The 21019-nt window shown below is 36.6% G+C and overlaps 2 protein-coding genes across 13 annotated transcripts in view; one reads left to right on the forward strand and one right to left on the reverse strand.

Annotated features, from left to right (window-relative positions):
• Positions 1-21019, reverse strand: part of AVEN (apoptosis and caspase activation inhibitor) — a 223545-nt gene that overhangs the window by 111212 nt on the left and 91314 nt on the right. The gene's annotated exons all lie outside the window — the stretch shown is intronic.
• CHRM5 (cholinergic receptor muscarinic 5) overlaps positions 5505-21019 on the forward strand; it is a 98962-nt gene continuing 83447 nt past the window's right edge. For both annotated transcript variants that reach the window (NM_012125.4, NM_001320917.2), the window contains exon 1: positions 5505-6158. The gene's annotated coding sequence lies outside the window, so the exon portion shown is untranslated. The remainder of the gene's footprint in view (positions 6159-21019) is intronic.

A 21019-nucleotide genomic window follows, 5' to 3' on the forward strand; every position in this document is an offset into this window, starting at 1 on the left:
GACTAAATCAAAATTGTGGCCTTCCTAACATGGGATAACTGAAGAGAACAACTCCTAACAGTTAGATGCCTATATGAGAAGGAAAAAGAGCACTAAAATTTATTGTGTAAAATGGATGGCAGGACTAAATTATCTCTACAGTCCCTTCCAGCAGTAAAATTAAATTAAATTCCATAATAATTATGACAACTCTTGACATCTACTAAGCATCTGCCCTCTCTGTGCCAGGCACTGTGCTAGGTGCTTTGCATGGGTTAATCAGAATATGTCCCTAAGACTGTTTCTATGAGATACCTGTCTATTTAAACAGCCCTAACAGACAAGAGATCCAAGAGGAAGATAGATCCTTTCTTTAAAATTTATCTGATATAAAGCAAAATGGAAATGGAAGGTCTAAAATCTCTGTGGGGTCTGCCTTGTTCACTGAGACAGGCAGTGGCTGGCTTTTGTATGAAGTGCTTCCCTAAAGATCAGATGCCAGAGCTGCTGAGAAGGGTATCAGAAAGTAAAACACCAGAACCCAGCCGGGCGCGGTGGCTCACGCCTATAATCCTAGCACTTTGGGAGGCCAAGGCAGGCGGATCACTTGAGGTCAGGAGTTTGAGACCAGTCTGGCTAACATGGTGAAACCCCATCTCTACTAAAAGTACAAAAATTAGACAGGCATGATGGTGGGCGCCTATAATCCCAGCTACTCAGGAGGCTGAAGCAGGAGAATTGCTTGAACCTGGGAGGCAGAGGTTGCAGTGAGCCGAGATCGCACCACTGCATTCCAGCCTGGGCGACAGAGCGAGACTCTGTCTCAAAAAAAAAAAAAAAAAGAAAACGAACAAACAAAAAAACCCCAAAGCCCATCCAAATAATCCTATTTGCCCCCAGAGAATGGCTCCTTGCCAGATTGATGCAGTATCAGGGCTCATCAAGAAAGCAGGAATGATCTCGCTACAGAGAGTATTAGTGGGGCATTCACAAACTTAGAAATCTAAAAGACTCCAGTCATTAGGATCTAAAAGGATGTGATGTGGGTGTGCCTAACGTGACATCTTGTGACCACACGTTCAAATGTTAGTGTCCCCACTAGCCTACAGGGTTCTTAGGGTCTAAGTCCTTACTTAAAAAAAAAAAAAGTCTACCGCCAGGACATAGCATAGTTCTAGAACCTGGAATATAGGAAGCATTTCACAAATACTTAATGAGGAATATTAGTACCCAATCTCCCCCCGAACGTATCTGTTCCACTTACTAGGGTATGGTTGTAAAATCAGAGCTTTCTAAAGTGTGGTCTGGAGACCTCTAGTGGTTGTCTGCAGTTCAGTATAAGGTCAAAATATTAAGGATGACAAATTAGGAAAGAGCCAAATAATAGGTCACAGGTTAAGGCCTGAGATGAGTGAAAAAAGTGGGTGCTATGGTAGAGGAATAAACTAAAGAAGTTTAAAAATGAAAGATTCATTTAAAGTGTCTAAATTAGAAGATAAAAATGCAATCTTTTTTTCTCCAACAAACTGATGCCAAAAGAAAAAAAATGCAATCGTTTTACCCGAATGTAATACATATGAAGACAGCAACTGTTTCCTAATAATCAACTGTATTGCAAAGTACAACCACTCTAGTTCATATCCCCCCTCATACCACTACTTAGTTTTAAAAAAAAATTTAATAGAACATAAATGAATAGTATTTTAAAACACATTGCTATTTGAGAGGCCATAATACAATTTTGGAAAGAAAAATAAATCACCCTTTATAAATTCAAGACATAGAAACAAGAAGAACACATTCCCTATATATTAAAGACAGTCAACTCTCCAGGTTATCTAAGATCTCCAAGAAACTGCAGATTTCATTTTTGTAGAATGTTAGTCATGCTGGAGAGACGCCACTCTTTCAACATTATACTGGGAGTCTCACGCTTAAGTTGAATGATGGTTATTCTCAGTAGGCAATCTTACTGGACTTTAAAACCACCTAGGCTGGGTTCATACCACAGTTCAACATCTTAATAACAGGGTAAACTTGAACAAGTTACTTAACCTTGGTGTACCTCAGTTTCCTTCTTTATAGAAGATGAATGATAACAGTCTGCCTCAGAGCTGTTAAAAATTATGCATTATAAATCCAAAGAACCAAGTGCACTGGTCTTGTACCAAGTAAGGAGTCAATAAATGTTTATTATTACAATTAATGTGCTAAAAATGGCATGGCATGACTCACGTAAGTCAACAAAGGTTTGATTTCTTCAACAAGAATTTAAAAGCATATTTATTTTAGAAACAGCTTCCATAAGTCCACAATACTCTCTTAAAATGCAACTTTTTCTCTTCATTTATTAACTGAAAAATAATCACACTCAATTGAGATTATACATATTGAAATGCCCTAAAAGGAAGCCGTTGCCATGGAAGAAATCATTAACCACAAATCCTACTCATCTAAAAACTGGAGAGCATAAAGGAGAGACTTTTTTTCTTTATAAAAGTATTTATAATTTTGTAAACAGCTATGAGCATAACTCTAGGTATGGACCAAATGTTCTAGCAAAAAAGGACCTTGTAAAAGAAAAAATCATTTATCTTATACATAAATTCATTTGAAAGTCTGTGATGCCTCTGAAGTTGTTTAGCCAACTTTACAGTGGGCAATGGGAGAGTTCAGTTTAAATATGAGAATACATAGAGTTGTAAAAAGGGAGATGAGAGTTGAGACATCTGAACAAAAGAAAAATGTGCTTTATTATATGTATCAAAGAAAACATAAAAGTCCATATCCCTAAGACTTTCCTCCTCCTCCTCATATTTAGGGTGGAAAAACAAGCCATCCACCCAACTAGCTACTCAACCTATTAGATCTCTGAACAATACAGTTCATGTAGACAACTCCTTGCTTCAAAGCAGAAAGTTCATCCTGTAGAAAGTAAAAATAAATACAGCTTTTTATTAAAAAAAAAGAACAACATCAGGAATACCAAGAGCAAAGTCTTGGAGAAAATTACTTTCCACAATGGCTGAAGTATAATTTGGAACTGTACAGGCCAGTACTTAAGTCAATGTTTTTCCATTAATTCAGTTTATAGCTAAAGTACTGAGAGATAATGATATGAAATATTTGCACCCAAAATACACTCATAATCTATTATTCCAGTTCCCTCTATAACCACTTTTTCACCCACCCTACAAAGTTCTCCAGCAGAACCTGCATATTTGCAAAGTGTTCTCCTATGTTGACATTGTATTATAAATGACTGAGAAAAATTTCAGAGACAACTTGGAAAGAGAATGGAAGCATTTTTGCTCACCTTTTCCCATTCAGCTTATCTGTATTAAATGGTGATAATCAGTAACTATTTACTAAGCTTTCAAAAAGTGATTGGCACATATAGTCCTTATTCAGCAAGATTTAAAGGACAAGGTATAATTTGAGAACATAAAGTGTAACACAAAGCTCCCAAATGTTCATGCCATAACATGACGTATGACAAGAGATACTCAAGAGTGAGCACCTTGGGAGAGAAGTATTCTATTGCCCTCCATAAAAAATGGGAGCACGGTCCTCAGCAGTGGCTTTGAGCTTAGATGGAAACAGAAAATTATAATTTCCATCTACACCCCTTTAATGGCTCCCCATATTCACCACCCCCATTCTCTTTCATCCAGCCAATTTGAAAGATGAGATAAGAGTGAGAAGAGACAGAGAACCTGAATGAGAATGAATTTCGACAGGTGAGGGTGTGGCACACAAGTTATTTTCAGGACCTCATGCTATTGTATTCTTGGAAAAGTTAAGTGGACAGCCAAATGTTATGCTTTACCAGAAAGGAGCTAGGAGTTCAAACTTCATAGAAAAATTAAAATCCATTGGGAAGAAACCTTGACATTAATGAAAAACATATATAATATTATAGTCATCGATCCTCATAAACACAATGGCCCCATTTGATAGATTTTTACTTCTCTCATTTTGGATCTCCACTGAACTCTAAGTCACATTCAATCATTGAAATGGCTTAATAATCAGTGGCTTAAAACTTGGGGTATTTATTATAGAAGTGACCAGTATATAATGACCAATCATTACCATATGAAATTACAATCCTTTTCAGTATCATGCAATGTTAAGTGGGAAAAGTTCAAGAAAATATTCTAAAGATATGTTCTCTTGCATAAATATTCCTATTACAAATGTGTGTCAAAGACCACTATAAAACTAAAATTCACTTCTTTCTCATACATGTTCATCTGTCAGTGTTTAAAATTCTATTGGCTAACAATTAAAGTGTATACTTTGTCTGGATTCTCACTCAGAAAAAACCTACATAAAGACATAGTTTCTGAGACACAAGGAATTTAAAATGAACTGGATATTATATGACTCCAGAGGATTATAGCCAATGTGTTAGGTGTGATAATGGCACAGGGTCATGTGAAAAAGTGTCCATACTTTAAAAATATACATACTAAAGTACAAATAGGTGAAATGAGATTTGCTTTAAAATATTTTAGCAAAGAATTGAATCTGACAATTGTTGAATCTTGGTAATGAGTTTCTGGAGGTTCATGTATTATTTTTGTATTATTTTTCAGAGTTTTGTGTAAGTTTGAAATGTTCCATAATAATTTTTTAAAATTTAAAAACATTATATTGTCTAGATACACTCATAAAGAACTCAGGCAGGGAAAAAACGTTTAAATTTAAAATTTAAATTTTAAACTGAAGTGCAGTTTTAAAAATTTGAATTTTAAATTTAAAAACTGAAGTGCAAAAATTATGAAATTGACATTTAAAAATCTATTCTTTTATACAGCTAATATGGATTTCATCTAACTTAAGGAAAAGCTTTAATGAAGACCCTGTTAAAAGTTTGTATCAAATGAGGACTTATAATGCTTTACTCCAAAGCAACAAAACGCATATGCCCAAAAGATGTATAAAAACAGGCATACATTTAGGAAAAAAAAAAAAGGCAGCCTTTTCTCTGCTACAAATATTTAAAACTCACAGTATACTCTTTCTATCTCAAAGACTTTTAAAAATTATTTTCCATCTTTAGGGAAAACCATATGAGAAAATAACTCAGCAACATGTCTGTGAATAATGCCTAGCAAAGCTTAAAAAAAAAAAAAAAAAAAAAAAAAAGCTTCTAGCCAAAAAGACTAACAGGAAAAAATGAACATTTTCAAAAGCATTTTGGAACCTTATTCCAGCTACCTCCATGCTAAGCCCTCTTTTTCCTCCCAAAATACGTCACTTAACTGTCTGTCAAATAACTCTTGCCCATTCTACCTGATCACACTCTGAAGCTGCAGCTTTTCCTGGATTCTCTTCTCAATGACAAGCTGTTCAAACAGAGAACACCTATCAAAACGAATATCATCATCTGCTCCTTTCTTTCTTCCTTTCAGGATATACTGCTGTCCAGCAGGGGAAGTAATTAATGAGTTTTTTATGTATGGCAGCGTCATCCCATCAGTTTGCTGTCTGGTTTGAATAGCTCCTATCAGCTCTTCATTCATGCCAAGTACGCTCACCGTCCAGAGACATGATAAAGCCGTACTTCCTTCTGGATTTTTACCTCACTATTCAAAAAACAGGGTACCAGAAGCATGGGTTACAAAAGCATGAGGAGGACAGAAGAAATGCCTTCATCTTCTACAGAAAGGAAGCTGATGGACTGAAAAGTTCGTATGGAGAAAGGAAAGCAAGAGTGCAAGAACATCCATGCTTCTAGTCCAGATAATGTTTTTTAAAGCAGCTTGATTTGGAAGCGTGTGTAATTCTGAAATACGAACAAGCAGAACTTTTCCAGGGGGTCAAATGCATATAGGAACAACCAGGATTTCTCATTGCTGAAGCATTCAATGAATCTTTAATAAGTTCTCAACACTCAGATTGTTTGTGATCAGATCAACTGCTGTTACCAGATAAAGGCAAAACTCACCCTTCTGGTTCTATAATCCTATCCAAATGGAGTCTTCATCTACCGCATACTATCCTAACTAATGCTACAGGATTATCAGGAATACAGATATAAAGACACTGCAAGAAATAAAACACTGGCAAAATAAAACATGAAAGGAAAGTAGAGAAGGCATTTTGGGTCTCGAAGCTTACTATTTCCAGCCAGAGTTCAAATTACTGAGCTTCAAACAAACCACTGCCAGGTAAGATTTAATTTTATAACCTTAATTTATATCTTGTCTACTGAAATTAAATCTGCTCGTGCTGTGAATGAGATAGTGGATTTGAATTTCTTGCAACCCTTCCTTAAGCTTTTGCAGATTTAAGCTGAGGTAAACGCTTGTTTTTACTTATGCTGCATAAACAAGTCACTCAGAACTAGATAATAAAGCATCCAAAACTCCCATTCATTTTTCATTGAATTTGTCTCATCTTTGTCTTTATTTTTATCCCAATTTTGTTTTATTTAATAGCTTGAAAAAAATGCATGAAGAGAGCCCTGAATGGTGCATAAGAGCCATTCACAGATAATGTTTACCAACAATATTCAAATGAACTTAGTTTCCCAGAGTACTTGATAAAACAAAGAAAAATTAATAAGCATTTTAAATATTTTTATTCATATAAAGGAACAAAAGCTCAATGACTGATTTCTATTGTTACTAAGAAAAAAAAGCTGTGATGTCATTTCATTCATACTAAAGAAAAATAATCTCTACTAAATCGAGGTATAACACTCTTGTAGGATAGGGCTAATTTATCCTAAAGATACTAGACATTTTTATAACAGACTAAATGAAGACATTTTTCTGATTCAACAAGAGGATAAAAAGATGAAAGATGTCTGGTACCTTAAAACCTCAAAAGCTTTGACTCAGGTCAGTGGTCCAAACTGTAAAATGCAAAGCACTAGTGAAGCCATCAAAGGATTTTAAAAGATACAGTGCCTTTAAGAAATTCCCTAGAAATCACTGCATAATGAGACTTCTAGAGTGACAATCTTATGTAAAAACAACAAAACGTTATCATTTAGCAGAAATCCCAACCACATTGGTTTTCATGAGTTTCATTGGAAAACTTAGGTCCAAAGCACCTTATCATAAAGAAGTCCTACAACAAATAATATTTATATTATCTTAGAAGAGAGGAGACAGGGAAACAAGAGCATATCACACCTAACTACGGAGATCTTGTGGTAATATACATAAAGTTATCAGAAGTAAGTATTCAATACTTGTCTAAAAGTAGTCAAATTAGAAATTCTCTTCCATTTCACTGAATTCTTTCCTTTTTTCAAATTTTAGTTAAGGGAGTAAATTATATGATCCCTTCAGGCTTTTCAAGACAGTCTATAAATAACCTTAAATATCATAAGTCTTTTACATCTGAAGTCATTACAGAAACTTACCTGTCATTTTCCAGTACCAAAGGAAAGCAGCAATTTAATACAAGTAGTGATTATCTAATACAACAATTTGTTTCAGAGAAAAAAATGTTTATTTAGAAATCTCAAAATACTTCTTATGCATACCAGACATAACTAAAAGTTAAGGGTGGTATTGTTGTTGTTTACCTACACTGAGAAACAGCTGAACCCTTAAGGGTTCTTTTCATCTGTTCCCTCCTTATTATGGTATTACAGTTTGTAAACAGACATGATTCAAAAATATGTAGATATTTTAAATGAAGAATATTAATCAATATTTTAAATTATAATTAAAGATTTTTTAATTAACTTGGACAAAAGTATGAAATTTCTACTATGCTCAATTTGCTTCCAATAAATGGAATTAAAGGGGGCAGATAACAATATTCCTTAAGTGTTCTGGATTTTATTTACTCATTGTAATGTAAACAGAGACTCATATCCCACTAATTTGGGGGCTTTGTTTCTATAACTCACCTTCTAATGACAATGGCTGGGCAAATGAATACTACCTTGCTCCACCCCAATTTGGTCCTTGTCAGCATCAATCCCAGTGAATTTTCACTTTCTTTCCTTTCCAAATCAAGGCTTTGCTCTATAATAACCCATTCAGAAAAGTGATTACTGAAGTTTTGGTAACAGCTTTCAAAAAAATACCCTACAGCAATTTGGAATAATCTGTATTTTCTTCATGTAGGGTGAAAAAAAAATTGAAAACTGCTTCAAGTTTACATCTCATGGGTACAAATGGATGAGGGATTTTATGCTAGTACCTGAAGATTTGGTTTATTTATAACAACTTTTCCCTGTTATTGATAGATTTAACAATTAAAGAGATTCTGAACAGTCTTGGGATGTAGTCAATGACCTGCCTACTTGTTTCTGCAATTTAGAATGTATTTCATTCACACATATTATATAAAAGTATTATATTGTAAAAGTAATGTGATTGTGTATCATTAGTTCCTTTCATAGAAATGGAGCAAATATTTTGGCTGCCATATCCTTATAATAATACCTATTGCTATATCCTTAAATTCTGGTCATTTTAAATTATCCAAAAGCTATAAGCTTTTTATTTAAACTATGATAAAATAAAAATGGCATCTAGGTCAAAATGAACACATCCATTTCGTGTATGTTGACATAACAATCTTAAAAAGTAATTTTTGTCTGAAATACCAAGCAACATAATTTTGTATATAAAATTAGAAACATACCTAAAATTCATTTTTCTGTGTTAGCATTCAACTTAAAGGGACATTGCATAATATTTTTAAATGCATTAAATATATATTTACTTATATCTTCATTATTATAACTTTAAGTTTTCATAAGGAATTTTTTTCATTCCATTATAATGGCACCGTGTTTCAAGCTTAATTCAACTGGGCATTTCAACTAGCCAATATATTTGTTCCTTATTATGGTTAATTTTCCTTATGAAGTGACCAAATTTGAATAAGGATGTAGTTCACCATGAAGATCATCTCCTCTCCAGCTTCTTCCTGCTGAGAGAGAACAATCTTTGGTTTGTGACATCACAATCTGTGACTGGGAAGTGGCTCTGATATCAAACAGATGATTATATGCTTTCAGTGTGAACTAGCTAAAAGAGAGATGTAAGCACTATTATTTCAAGTCATATCACCAAGACACTAAAGAGATGCATGACAGGAACTGAATTAGAGAAAGATGCTTTTATTGCATTTGTCACTTTTTCAGCATCAACTATTAAAGATAAAAGTACCATCTCACAGTTTTCTCATTAATAATTCAAAAGCGGGAGTAAACATCATGTTGGTTAAATTCACAGACCATGATAAAACGGGAGTAAGGAAAATACCAGTAAGCAAGCAGACAGTCATGAAAGAGGCCCCTAGAGAACTGAGAAATAGATGCAAAATTTCACCTTGGTTCAAGCAGAAATACTGATGCTACTCAGAAAATTGAAAAATTACCAAAACACCCAAAATGAGAAAGACGGTGTCTCTGAATGAGAAAGAGATCCCTAAATATAGATTATAAAGTGATCCCATGACATAGATTAATTAGTATCTGACACATGGACTAGTATGAGGGCAGGGAGGGGGCTGGTTAACACCTTTCTAAAACAGCATGGATTTGTTAAAAAACAAAAACAACAACAGAAAACAAAAACAAAAACAAAAACAAAAAAACAAAGGACTGTCTTGAATTAGCAAAACTTCTGTGTTCTCTGAAAGTCTTCAACAAATATTTGTAAAAAATAAATAAAAATAAATCAGGAGTTAGGGTTCAATTAAGGAAACAAAAATGAAAGCTCCTTTTACAAACACATAGGCATATACAGACCTCTTTTTGTAATCTTTGTTTGCAACAGTAGCCAAAAGACAAAGCAGACCAACTAATCCTTCCACACTGAACACATGTGCAGTCTGTCCTTTGATTAGTGGCAATACCCTGATTCAGAGTATCAGTCATTTGTGACTGACCCTCCTAGACTCAGAGCCTATACAAAGATGATGTGTAAAAAATACAGTTAACTACTCCACGCATAATTACAAGTCAAGCTGAAGTCTCATTATCTACAGTTACACAGATTGCTTGATCCAGTGGTGTGTAGAGAATTCTTAAAGCATTTATTCAGTCCTATGTACTGGTTCATTACAACCAATGGGTTATTCAGCAGTTGTTTAAAGATCTGACATTCTCCATTTTTTGTATTGAAATTATTAGTGAAATAACTCAAGAATCTGGACCAATCAGAAAACATTACCACTTTTATAGACATTGTTTGACGTCACACTGTTGTCATCATCAGACTACGTGGGCCTTCTTATTTCCTGATTATCACTATAGAAATGTAGCACTGAATAATGTGTTCTTTAAGAAGCAAAAGCCAGAGATGATTTCCAGTTCAGTTATCAACTAAAAATCCTTAGCTATTTATAGAATTTTTTGGTACAGTAACCTAGAAAGCTGTTGGTGTAAATCTATCAGGCTCAGTATATAACATAGTACAACTCTTAATATTTCATCAACTGTATACCTTCCCTTCATTTGTGTTGCAAAGACAGTCCTCTACATGCAGTAACTTCTGGGTAACTTCTGGTAATACCTACAGAAGAGCTTCTCATGCCTAGGAACTTCCCCAACACTTTGAGGATACTTCTTTCATAACACCTTGTTAGATTCCATTGAAAACCTATTTATGGCCAAGCGCAACCTGTAATCCCAGCACTCTGGGAGGCCAAAGCTGGAGGATCGCTTGAGGCCAGGAGTTCGAGACCCACCTAGGCAACACAGCAAGACTCCATCTCTATAAAAAAATCTAAAAGTTAAAAAAATAAGAAAATCTATTTATATAGTTGTCTGACATACGAAATTGCATTTTTCATGGTTGAGGGCCTTAAGAGTAAAGACCACATCTAATTTATCTGTCTATTCCCAAGGTAAGCTCAGGACTAGTTAATCAGCAGATGTGTTAAATGAATGTGAAAATGTATCTTAATGCATTCTCAGGTACAATCTCAGACAGCCAGAAGAATAGTGATCCTAAAATATACCTCAGCTGCATTTCACTGATAATAGGCAAGTAGGTAACTGCAGAAAAGTCTAATGAAGGAGTCTTTTAAAGTAGTTTATACTGAAATAATAGCTATAAGGAGATAATATCTGTTAGGGATAGTATATGATATTATGAGGTATGCAAATACAGGATAGCAAATTTATCCCTTATGCTTTTGCTCTATTTGACATATGGAAATCACGTTTGCTATACTACTAGATCTAGAATTTCATCGATAATCCAAAAGGATCTAAATTGGTCTTGCTATTAAAAAGTGACTTCAGGGGAATTTGAATAAGTACTTTGCAAATGAAATTGAAGAGATACTACAGTCATCTTTCTATTCAAAGATGAGTGGAGAAAGTGACACACTTAAAATCTTACATTTATTCTGTTGGATGCTCTACCTGCCCCCTCTCCCTCTTTCACTCTCTGTGAGGAATGAATCTTTGCAAGTTACCTATGTTATATCTCCCCAAGTCATCTCTTCTCCTTATGCCAACATACAATATACCAACAATGGTGATTTCTTTAAAAGCAGGGACAAAGGCTAAAAGACTATGCTGTGCCTCAACCCCTATGATAGAAATTAAAGTAGCAGAGTGTTGAAGTAGGCCAGCATCACTCTAGAATTCATCAACATGTGTGTTGGGGTGGGGGCAGCTATAGTCTGAAGATGCTCAGGGTACATGAATAATGCATGTGTACGTCCTCACAGAAATCTGTGATTTGATGTTGGCGTGCACAACTTAAGATTTTGAGCTTTGGGCCGGGCACAGTGGCTCACGCCTGTAATCCCAGCACTTTGGGAGGCCGAGGCAGGTGGATCACCTGAGGTCAGGGGTTTGAGACCAGCCTGGCCAACATGTTGAAACCCCGTTTCTAATAAAAATACAAAAATTAGCCGGGTGTGGTGGTGCATGCCTGTAATCCCCGCTACTTGGAGGCTGGGGCCGGAGAATCGCTTGAACCCAGGAGGTGGAGCTTGCAGTGAGCCAAGATTGCACCATTACGCTCCAGCCTGAGCAACAAGGGCGAAACTCTATCCTGAAGGAAAAAAAGAACAACAGATTTTGAGTTTTGACATCCTATCATGTTTTTAGCCATGTTCCTTCTTTCAAACACCATCTTAGATAAAATATCAAGATATAAGACATATAAGAGCAGATCTGCCCTGGTTGGGTTGAGACAGAAAGCTTAGAGCCCGCAGGTCCCCTTCTCACCCCATCTCTTCTACACTCTCTCCTCCACACGCTTCTTGGACACCTTCTAAGATATGTTTGTTGTAATTGTTCTGCCATCTAGAGGATTCACAAAGATATTCTTCTCCATTTTAATGCAAGTTTTTGATTCCATATAGACACTGCCAAATACTCTAACCTAAAACTCCTGGTATATGTCAAGCAATAGTATTTTCTAGAGCAAGAGGGCACAGGTTGCGAAACAGTGCTACTTAGCTATGCGGAATGCTACTCAATTATTCTGCTGCCTAAACATTGATCAAGCAACTAAGACCTAGGATTCAAATAAATTATAAGTTGATTTTAAAAAGGACTAAACATCTATAATTTGGGTTGGAATATTCCAGAAGTAACTAAAATTAACAAAATCTCAAAAAATTATTTGCAATCAAGAAAGCATAGAAACAAAAAGTGAGAATTTGTCATAATAGAACTCAGAATTCAGTGTGAGAAAACAACAGAATTTGTTAGAAATACCAGGTCCCAGCTGGGCACGGTGGCTCACGCCTGTAATCCCAGCACTTTGGGAGGCCGAGGCAGGTGAATCATGAGGTCAGGAGTTCAAGACCAGCCTGACCAACATGGTGAAATCCCATCTCTACTGAGAATACAAAAATTAGCCGGGCGTGGTGGCACATGCCTGTAGTCCCAGCTACTCGGGAGGCTGAGGCAGAAGAATCCCTTGAACCCGGGCAGCGGAGGTTACAGTGAGCCTAGATTGTGCCACTGCACTCCAGCCTGGGTGACAGAGTGACTATGTCTCAAAAGAAGAAAAGAAAAGAAAGAAATACCAGGTCCCTTGCATAATATTCTAGTATTATTTCACCTAACAACATTATACCAAACACTGGAGTTGTCCTGAGTTGTTTCCAGGTTTGTGAACTCTGCAATTTACTTGCTTTTGCAAGTGAGATGGGGCTCAAGTATTTAAGCTTGAACCTCCATATATAACTAAATATTACAACCAGCAGGATATATTGGATAAAATCAACTTTTAAAAGAGGAAATATGATCTTCCATCTAAAAAAGCCATGTTTCAATTATTATGACATACTATTTATATTACAATGTATTCATTTGCATTCAGTGATCATCTCCAGCACTGTCCTGTTCACTAAGGAATTCTCATAACTATTCATCCAAAATCTCAAATGATTCCTGCTTTGAAGTCAATCTCCTAAGTGAGTAATGTCGCTTTTTTCTCTAAAATACTTTAAAATATTTTCAAATATATTCTTGAGATTCAATTTTAAGTAGAGTTATTTTAAACCAACAACCAATACCCATGGACTTATTACACAGCTTTAATATAAATTTCTGCCATGCCCGCATCAGATTTTTTATGGCCTCTCCATAAATGGATCTGGGAAGAAAAACTCCAGTAGACAACACACTTTTATTCTGTAAGTGTATTAGGAACTGGTTAAAATTTATATATCTTTATTTAGGCTTTTTAAGTATCAGGAATAGGACCTTCTGCAGGCATAATGGTATATCTCCATTTAAAATATTTTAAATAAATGTAAACAGCAAGACAGAAACAAAAAAAAAATTTAACATAAATGTATTGTACCTCTCCTGTCTCAGATGACCAGCTGAAATTTTTAACATAAATTTATTGTACCTTTCCTGTCTCAGATCCCCAGCTGAACTTTTGAAACAAACATCCTAGGCATAGAAACATAAGCTACTTTATTTTTCTATGCCTTTTCTTCCCATCCCTGAGTCAGCCAGCCTCCTGTGGTATAGTGACATCCTGGATGGAAGTAAAATAATCAAAATTACAGGGTCCCTTGGGAAGGAAACCAATTCCCAGCAGTGATTCCTTATATAGAAAAGAGATAGCTAAACTCATGGTCACAATGGCATGAATTAGTTATGGCAAGGTTAATATCTTGTATAGAAAAAAATAATTTTTGGCTTAAATTGGTACCAAGGAGATAGGAAGGTTGAAAGGCTGTCTCCTCACTAACAAAATCCGCACTACCTTTTTTAGCAACAAAATGAACAAAAAACACAAAATATACATTTAAAGGGAACACAAAAAGCTGGAGTTCTTACATGAGACAGGGAAGCTTGCCTTTAGGATAACAAGAACAAGCTCCAATACTCTTACTCTAAGACACTTTTTCTCATATATTGGTAGGATAGAAAGATCATCTGATTAGCACTTCAACAAAGCAGAAGATGAGACAGATTCAAAACAAATCCTCCCCTTATCATCTCCTCCTATACTCCCTTACTTTTATTTACAAGTACATAAAATACTGCATATTATAATGAATTCCGGTTTCAAACCTTGACATTCTCTTTTGTTAGGAGGCTATGACAGCGTGCTTTGATTCAGGGTGTTGTATCCCAGCCTCGTGGCCTCACTGAGCACCATTCTTATGCTTGCTCTCCTCCAAGGACACTTTGGAAGAAAGGATGGTACATACATATTTTCCTTCTCATTACAGCCCTATGTCTATGTCTGTGAAATTTTGAACCTTGAAATTCTGACTATTTCTACAAGTGAAGAATCAAACGTTCTCTATTACACTCTAAGTTTCCAATAATATGGTCTCAGAGCAAGTAAGTCCTCCCTGGCAAAACAGCCAGGTTTGAATTAGAAAGGACTATTTCAGGCCAGGTGTGGTAGTTCACCCGTGTAATTCTAACACTTTGGAGGCCAAGGCAGGAGGATTGCTTGAGCCCAGGAGGTCAAAGCCGCAGCAAGCTGTGAACACGCCACTGCACTCCAGCCTGGGTGACAGAACGAGCCCTGTCAAAACAGAGAAAAAAGAAAAGAAAAGAAAGAGAAAGAGAAAAGGAAAAAGAAAGGAAGAAAAGGAAGAGAGGAAGGGAGGGAGGGAGGGAGGGATGGAAGGATGGAGGAGGAAGCGAGAGAGGTAGGGAGGGAGGGAGGACCATTTCAAAAGTCACTATGTCTATATAAAACTATTTTAAAAACATAGAAATTCAACCAGAAAACCTTAGCGATCCAAGTACATGAAGAAAGAGGAAATTTCTCTCTAGGCAGAACCAATGCAGACTGGCCGTTCTGAACAAAGTGACACGTATTACTAATATTTCCTGAGCATCCTCTGAACATGTGTGGTACTAGACTACAGCAAACCCACTGTAGACACAGGAAGTCTCTTGAGTGAGAAAAACAGAGTGGGGGAGTACATTTAATAATTGGAAATAAAACATCAAATGAAAATTAAAGCGTACAGGCCGGGCACGATGGCTCACGCCTGTAATCCCAGCACTTTAGGAGCCCGAGGTGGGAGGATCACCTGAGGTCAGGAGTTCAAAACCAGCCTGATCAACATGGTGAAACCCTGTCTCTACTAAAAATACAAAAATTAGCCGGCATGGTGGCAGGCACCTATAATGCCAGCTACTTGGGAGGCTAAGACAGGAGAATGGCTTGAACCTGGGAGGCAGAGGTTGCAATTAGCCAAGATTACGCCACTGCATGCCAGCCTGGGTGACAGAGTGAGACTCTGTTTCAAAATAAATAAATAAATAAATAAAAATAAAAATAAATAAAATTAAGGTGTACAAATTCGTCCCCAGGCATTTGAGAAAAACAGAATTCGGCCTTACTTTTTCCCTTTCCCCTGGTTCCTACACCCAAGAAATATTAGAAGGATATATTAATAAACCACAAACTTAGAAGAAACCAGAGAATAATGTTCACTTTCACCCTGAAGTCCCAAGTCTAACAAGAACAAACATGTGAAAAATGGACAGAGGAAAGAGATGTATGTCCATGCCAGGCAAAAGTAAGGAGTAGGGGTAGCAGAACAAGATAAATAAAAAAACAGACAATAAATGGGACCTACTGGCTCATATAATGCTCCAGGTTTCTTTTTCATCCTGTTTAGAAAGGTTGACATACTTGAGAATATTCCACATTTTAAGTCTACTCTAATAAAGAACCGTTTACTTCCTCTCTGCATATCAATTTGATTATAGCTTACTCCAAAGGACACAACCACAGAAGAGTCACCTCGTAAACCCCTCTTCAAAATAAAAATTGGAATTTAAATGGGTATCTAGGCTATTATTTAAAGACTGCACGGTTGGCCAGGCACGGTGTCCCATGCCTGCAATCCCAGCACTTTGGGAGGCCAAGGAGGAAGGATTGCTTGAGCCCAAGAGTTTGAGATCAGCCTGGGCAATATGGCAAAACCATATACAAAAATTAGCCGGGCATGCTAGGGTGTGGCTGTAATCCCAGCTACTCAGGAGGCTGAGGTGGAAGGATCACATGAGCCCAGGAGGTTGAGGCTGCACTCCAGCCTGGGCAACAAAGCAAGACCCTGTCTCAAAAACAAGCAAGCAAATAAAACTGCACTATTTATGAACCTACAGAAAACACTCTTATCTGAGCAATTCATCTCCCACAAATACTTGTATGGCCTTAAGTTAAACCTCAACCTTTATGAGCCTCGGTTTCCTCCTTTAAAAAATGAAAGATTTGGACCAAATGTTATCTGTTTTCAGAATGAACATTCTATAATGTTCCTGAAGAGTGAGAAAAAAGACACCAATGGTTCATAACATGTCAGCTTTACTAAACTAAGAGAAGTTCGTTAGGCATCCTCAGGAATCGTAAAGGACACATGTAGAGAAACACTAAGGAGCTCCAGTGGTCAAGAAAAATGCAATGCATATATGCTTATATATTTTTCTTTTATCAACTGCTGGTTAATTAGAATAGCATGAGCAATCCAAGAGATTCAAGATTGGTATTAGAGAAAACCATTCAGGTGAACACTAACTTGTTCTAGCTATGAATTTGTTAAATCTCTGGTTTCTGGGTTTTAAAAAATAATCAGCTCACTTTTTCACTATGATTGTAAAGGAAAAAAAAGAATGAGAATAACAAGGGAGAAGATTTAAGACATCCTGGTTGAATCCATGATATTGTTTAACATTATCTCATAGTAAACTAGTATGACTCAGAGCAACTAGGCACAGAAGAAATAGGTACAAGGAACCTAAACATGTAGAGCTGAAGACACATTAAAGTATGTAAGTATGTCAGGAGCAGCAAGTTCTTATTTAGGAATTATACTGTATAGCTGACAGACATGCACACTCCCACACAGACTAGATTTAATAACATCTTTTTGTCAGCAGCACACCTTTCAAGAATCATCGCACTGGTAATGTCTTAACTTGACAAGACCTCAGTGCAACAGCCTGCTCTAACGTGATTCCACCTTACCTGTTGCATTACTTACGCAAGGCTGTTATAGTACCGTCCCACACATGAACTCTCCAAACGTGCTGCCTCCCAGGCAACACGTCCTCTGATTTCTCTTGTTGTGGGCTGATGGCCATATATGACATGAGCACAAACTACGAATATTAAATATACATGTATGGGTATCCTGGGAGATCAGGCAAAAGGCATCAATGAGTATATTAAAGCCTTGGGCACTACAGTAGGTAGTCATGCACATAAGAAAGAAAAGGGAGTGACACACAGAAAAGAGAGGCAAGGTCTAAAGTGAAACCTGCCCCACAACTTGGCCCATTTATCATTATCTGTACACGGAGAACCCCAAATTACTTCTTGCTCTAAGCAGAGTGTAGGCAAGGACCTTAACTAGTTCCCAAATCCCATGTGTACCATATGCAAAACATTATCAACAAGAGTATGAAAATTACTAACTTGCAATACCATTCTGACTTCAAAATATAATGGAAAAAATACAGCTAAATGTAGCCTGCCCTAAAAATCGTATCACTAGAGCCTCCAATCAGAACTTAAAAAAGATTAACATAGGATTCAGAAACACTCTGCAAGTAAAAACTTTCTCACTTTAAAATAGAGATCATCAAATTGAAAAAATGCTGTGACTTGCTGAGGTCACACTGAGTTTTTATATAAACATACAATCACAACTTGATTCCAAGACTCCCCAGTTTTGGACAGCAACCCCTCTTAATTTTCTCTCAAAATTGTGGAGAGAAAATATCTGAATTAAGAAATCCAAAAGGTAATGTGAAAAATATTAACAGCGATGCCTTATCAATTTTCCTAAAAAATATGAAGCGGATGAATTTCATTTCACTTTCCGCATGCACAGTTTATAACACATAATTATCTTTTTGCTTGAGTTATTAGCAGTCAAGAAAAACTCATTTGCAAGTTAGCACTCCTGCGTACTAATATATTTTTTCCGGACTTTTCAGTTTAAATGAAACAAGTAGCAAGCATAAGAGTATTGCTCCCATTGTCATGACCAGATCAAAAGGCACCAAACTAAACATAACCAAGTTTTTTTAAGTAGCCAAAAGCTTTCTTCTTTTAACAGATACTAAAAATGGGGGGAAGGGGAGGAAACACAAGTTTCCCAAACAATGAAATGGCTCATTTTCTATACAATACACCAAAAGGGCCTACTGCTGCATAGCCAACTGTATGCATACCACAGGGGGCGAGAGTGCAATATAAAGAATAGTCATGGGTTTTGGAATCAGATTGAAAGGAATTCACACTGCAGTTCCATTACACACTAGTTATGTGATCCTTGTTACCTAACTTCTTTGAGCTTAATTTATCTCATCTATAAAATTGTCTAATACTAACACTGAAGGGCTATTTTGAATTTAAACAAAATGTATACAAAATACCAAATATCTAGCCAGGTACTCTATAAACAAGTTTTGTTTTTTTGTTTTTGAAACGGAGTCTCACTCTGTTGCCCAGGCTGGAGTGCAGTGGCGCGATCTTGGCTCACTCCAACCTCAGCTCACTGCAACCTCCACCTCCCAAGTTCAAGCAATCCTCCTGCCTCAGCCTCCCTAGTAGCTGGGACTACAGGTACATGCCACCATGCCCTGCTAATTTTTGTATTTTTTCTTTTTTTTTTTATTAGTAGAGACAAGATTTCACCACACTGGCCAGGCTGGTCTTGAACTCCTGACCTCAGATGATCCACCCGCCTCAGCCTCCCAAAGTGCTGGGATTACAGGCATGAACCACCACACCCAGCACTAAATAAGAGTTATTTTAACACATTTGTTAACACCTACATCTCTGCAGATGTAGAGCTGCATCTGCAGCTCTGCCCCCAACAAATTAAGCCAATCTAATTCAGAGGTTGGCCCTAATGCATTTTTCAGCAGTGCTGCCTTCTCAATTTCAAATTCCTATAAGATCACACCCTCTCCCATCCCAATCCAAACCCTAGTAATGACCCCAAGAATTACCAAATGCTATGCTCTGCCAAAAATAAAAATTAAAAAAGGAAAAAAATAAATGGAAGTATTTCTGATAATACTACTAAAATATTTTCTGGAGCAAAGCAATAACATATGGTTAAGAGGCCAAATCTCAGTCCCAATGGTCAAATTCAATTTGATTGACTGCTATTAACTCAGCACTGCCAAATCTTGATCCTTTTTTAAGATTTTACAATTTTTTTTAAATGCTATAAATGTTTACCCATATCTACCACTGCACTGACTCAAAATTTTTGAATTTAGTAATGGAAACAAGAATTTGTTTAGGTTATGGCATTTCCAAGAACAGCAGTAAAGAATGTAGTTATGTTGTACATCCAAATACCATGATGCTTTCCCCATGATGTTTTCCCCTTATGAATCGAAAAACACATCAACCACATTCTCTCTCTCTCTCTGGACCAGCCCATCTGGACAACACCCCTAAAGCAACAAAGGCTACCTTAGAATTATCCCAACTTCTGAGGGAGATCAGTCAAATGGTTAGCATGTCCTGGGATGACTGTTGGATCACTGGGACATGCCTCCTTCCTACCCATCAACTCCTGTTGGGATAATTTTTGAAAGACTGCACCTCTTAACTGCATGGACCATGACTGTCTCTTGCACAAGAAGCACAACATTAAGGCAGGTTTTTCTGAGCAACGGATTTTAGACGTGGATATATAAATCACTTGGGATATAGCTAACCATATACATATATGTCCATACTCTGTGTGTGTGTGTGTGTGTGTGTGTGTGTGTATGTGTGTGTGTATATATACACACGTGTGTGTATGTGTGTGTATATATATATATACATATATATACACACACATACACACACACACATATATATGGCTTCTTGGTAACCAACAAATGACAAAAGATAAAATAAGCTTTTTGTAACTGATTAATGAGGAAGAAATTAAAATCAATTATTGATGTTTCACCTTGTTTTACAAACGTACCCTCATTAACCCCATTCAGTTAACATAAACGCTTCCATTCTTCAAAGAAATTGACAGAAGGGTCAATGACACAAGAATAGCACCATTTATAATACAGATAGATCTGCAGTAAAGCATAAATAAAAAGGGCAAGTATTTAGTCATTATAACTTGACCTCTTGTCCAAGGCAATTCTTGGCTTCAGAGAGAACTAGTTCCCCTGAACTTTTAAGGAAAAACAGTATCTTTGCATAGCCTCAAAACATTATTTACTGTCATTGTTTTTAACACATGCCCAGAAATTCCTCCTTCCATGGATGAAGCTTACTCGCATCGTCTTGAGTGTGAGCAGGACTTAGTGACTCGCTGCTAGTGAACAATAAATGGAAAGGGAAAAACAGGGAGTTTACAGGGAGAAACCTGACGGAGGTTTCTAAGTGGTAACTAAGAGTAACTAAGTGATCAGAGTTAACATCATCAGCAGTAAGTCCTATAAATATTTTGTGTCCACTGACATGATCCAACAAGAAAGGTACATCATCTTAGGGTATTCTCCCCCAGAATCCATAATCTCAGCCTCATCATGAAAAAAAAAAAAATCAGAAAAACCCAAATTAAGGGACATTCTACAATATGGTCTACTCTTCAAAAGTGTCAATTTCAGAAA

Source organism: Homo sapiens, chromosome 15, assembly GCF_000001405.40.
Source record: "Homo sapiens chromosome 15, GRCh38.p14 Primary Assembly".
Lineage (NCBI taxonomy): Eukaryota > Metazoa > Chordata > Mammalia > Primates > Hominidae > Homo > Homo sapiens.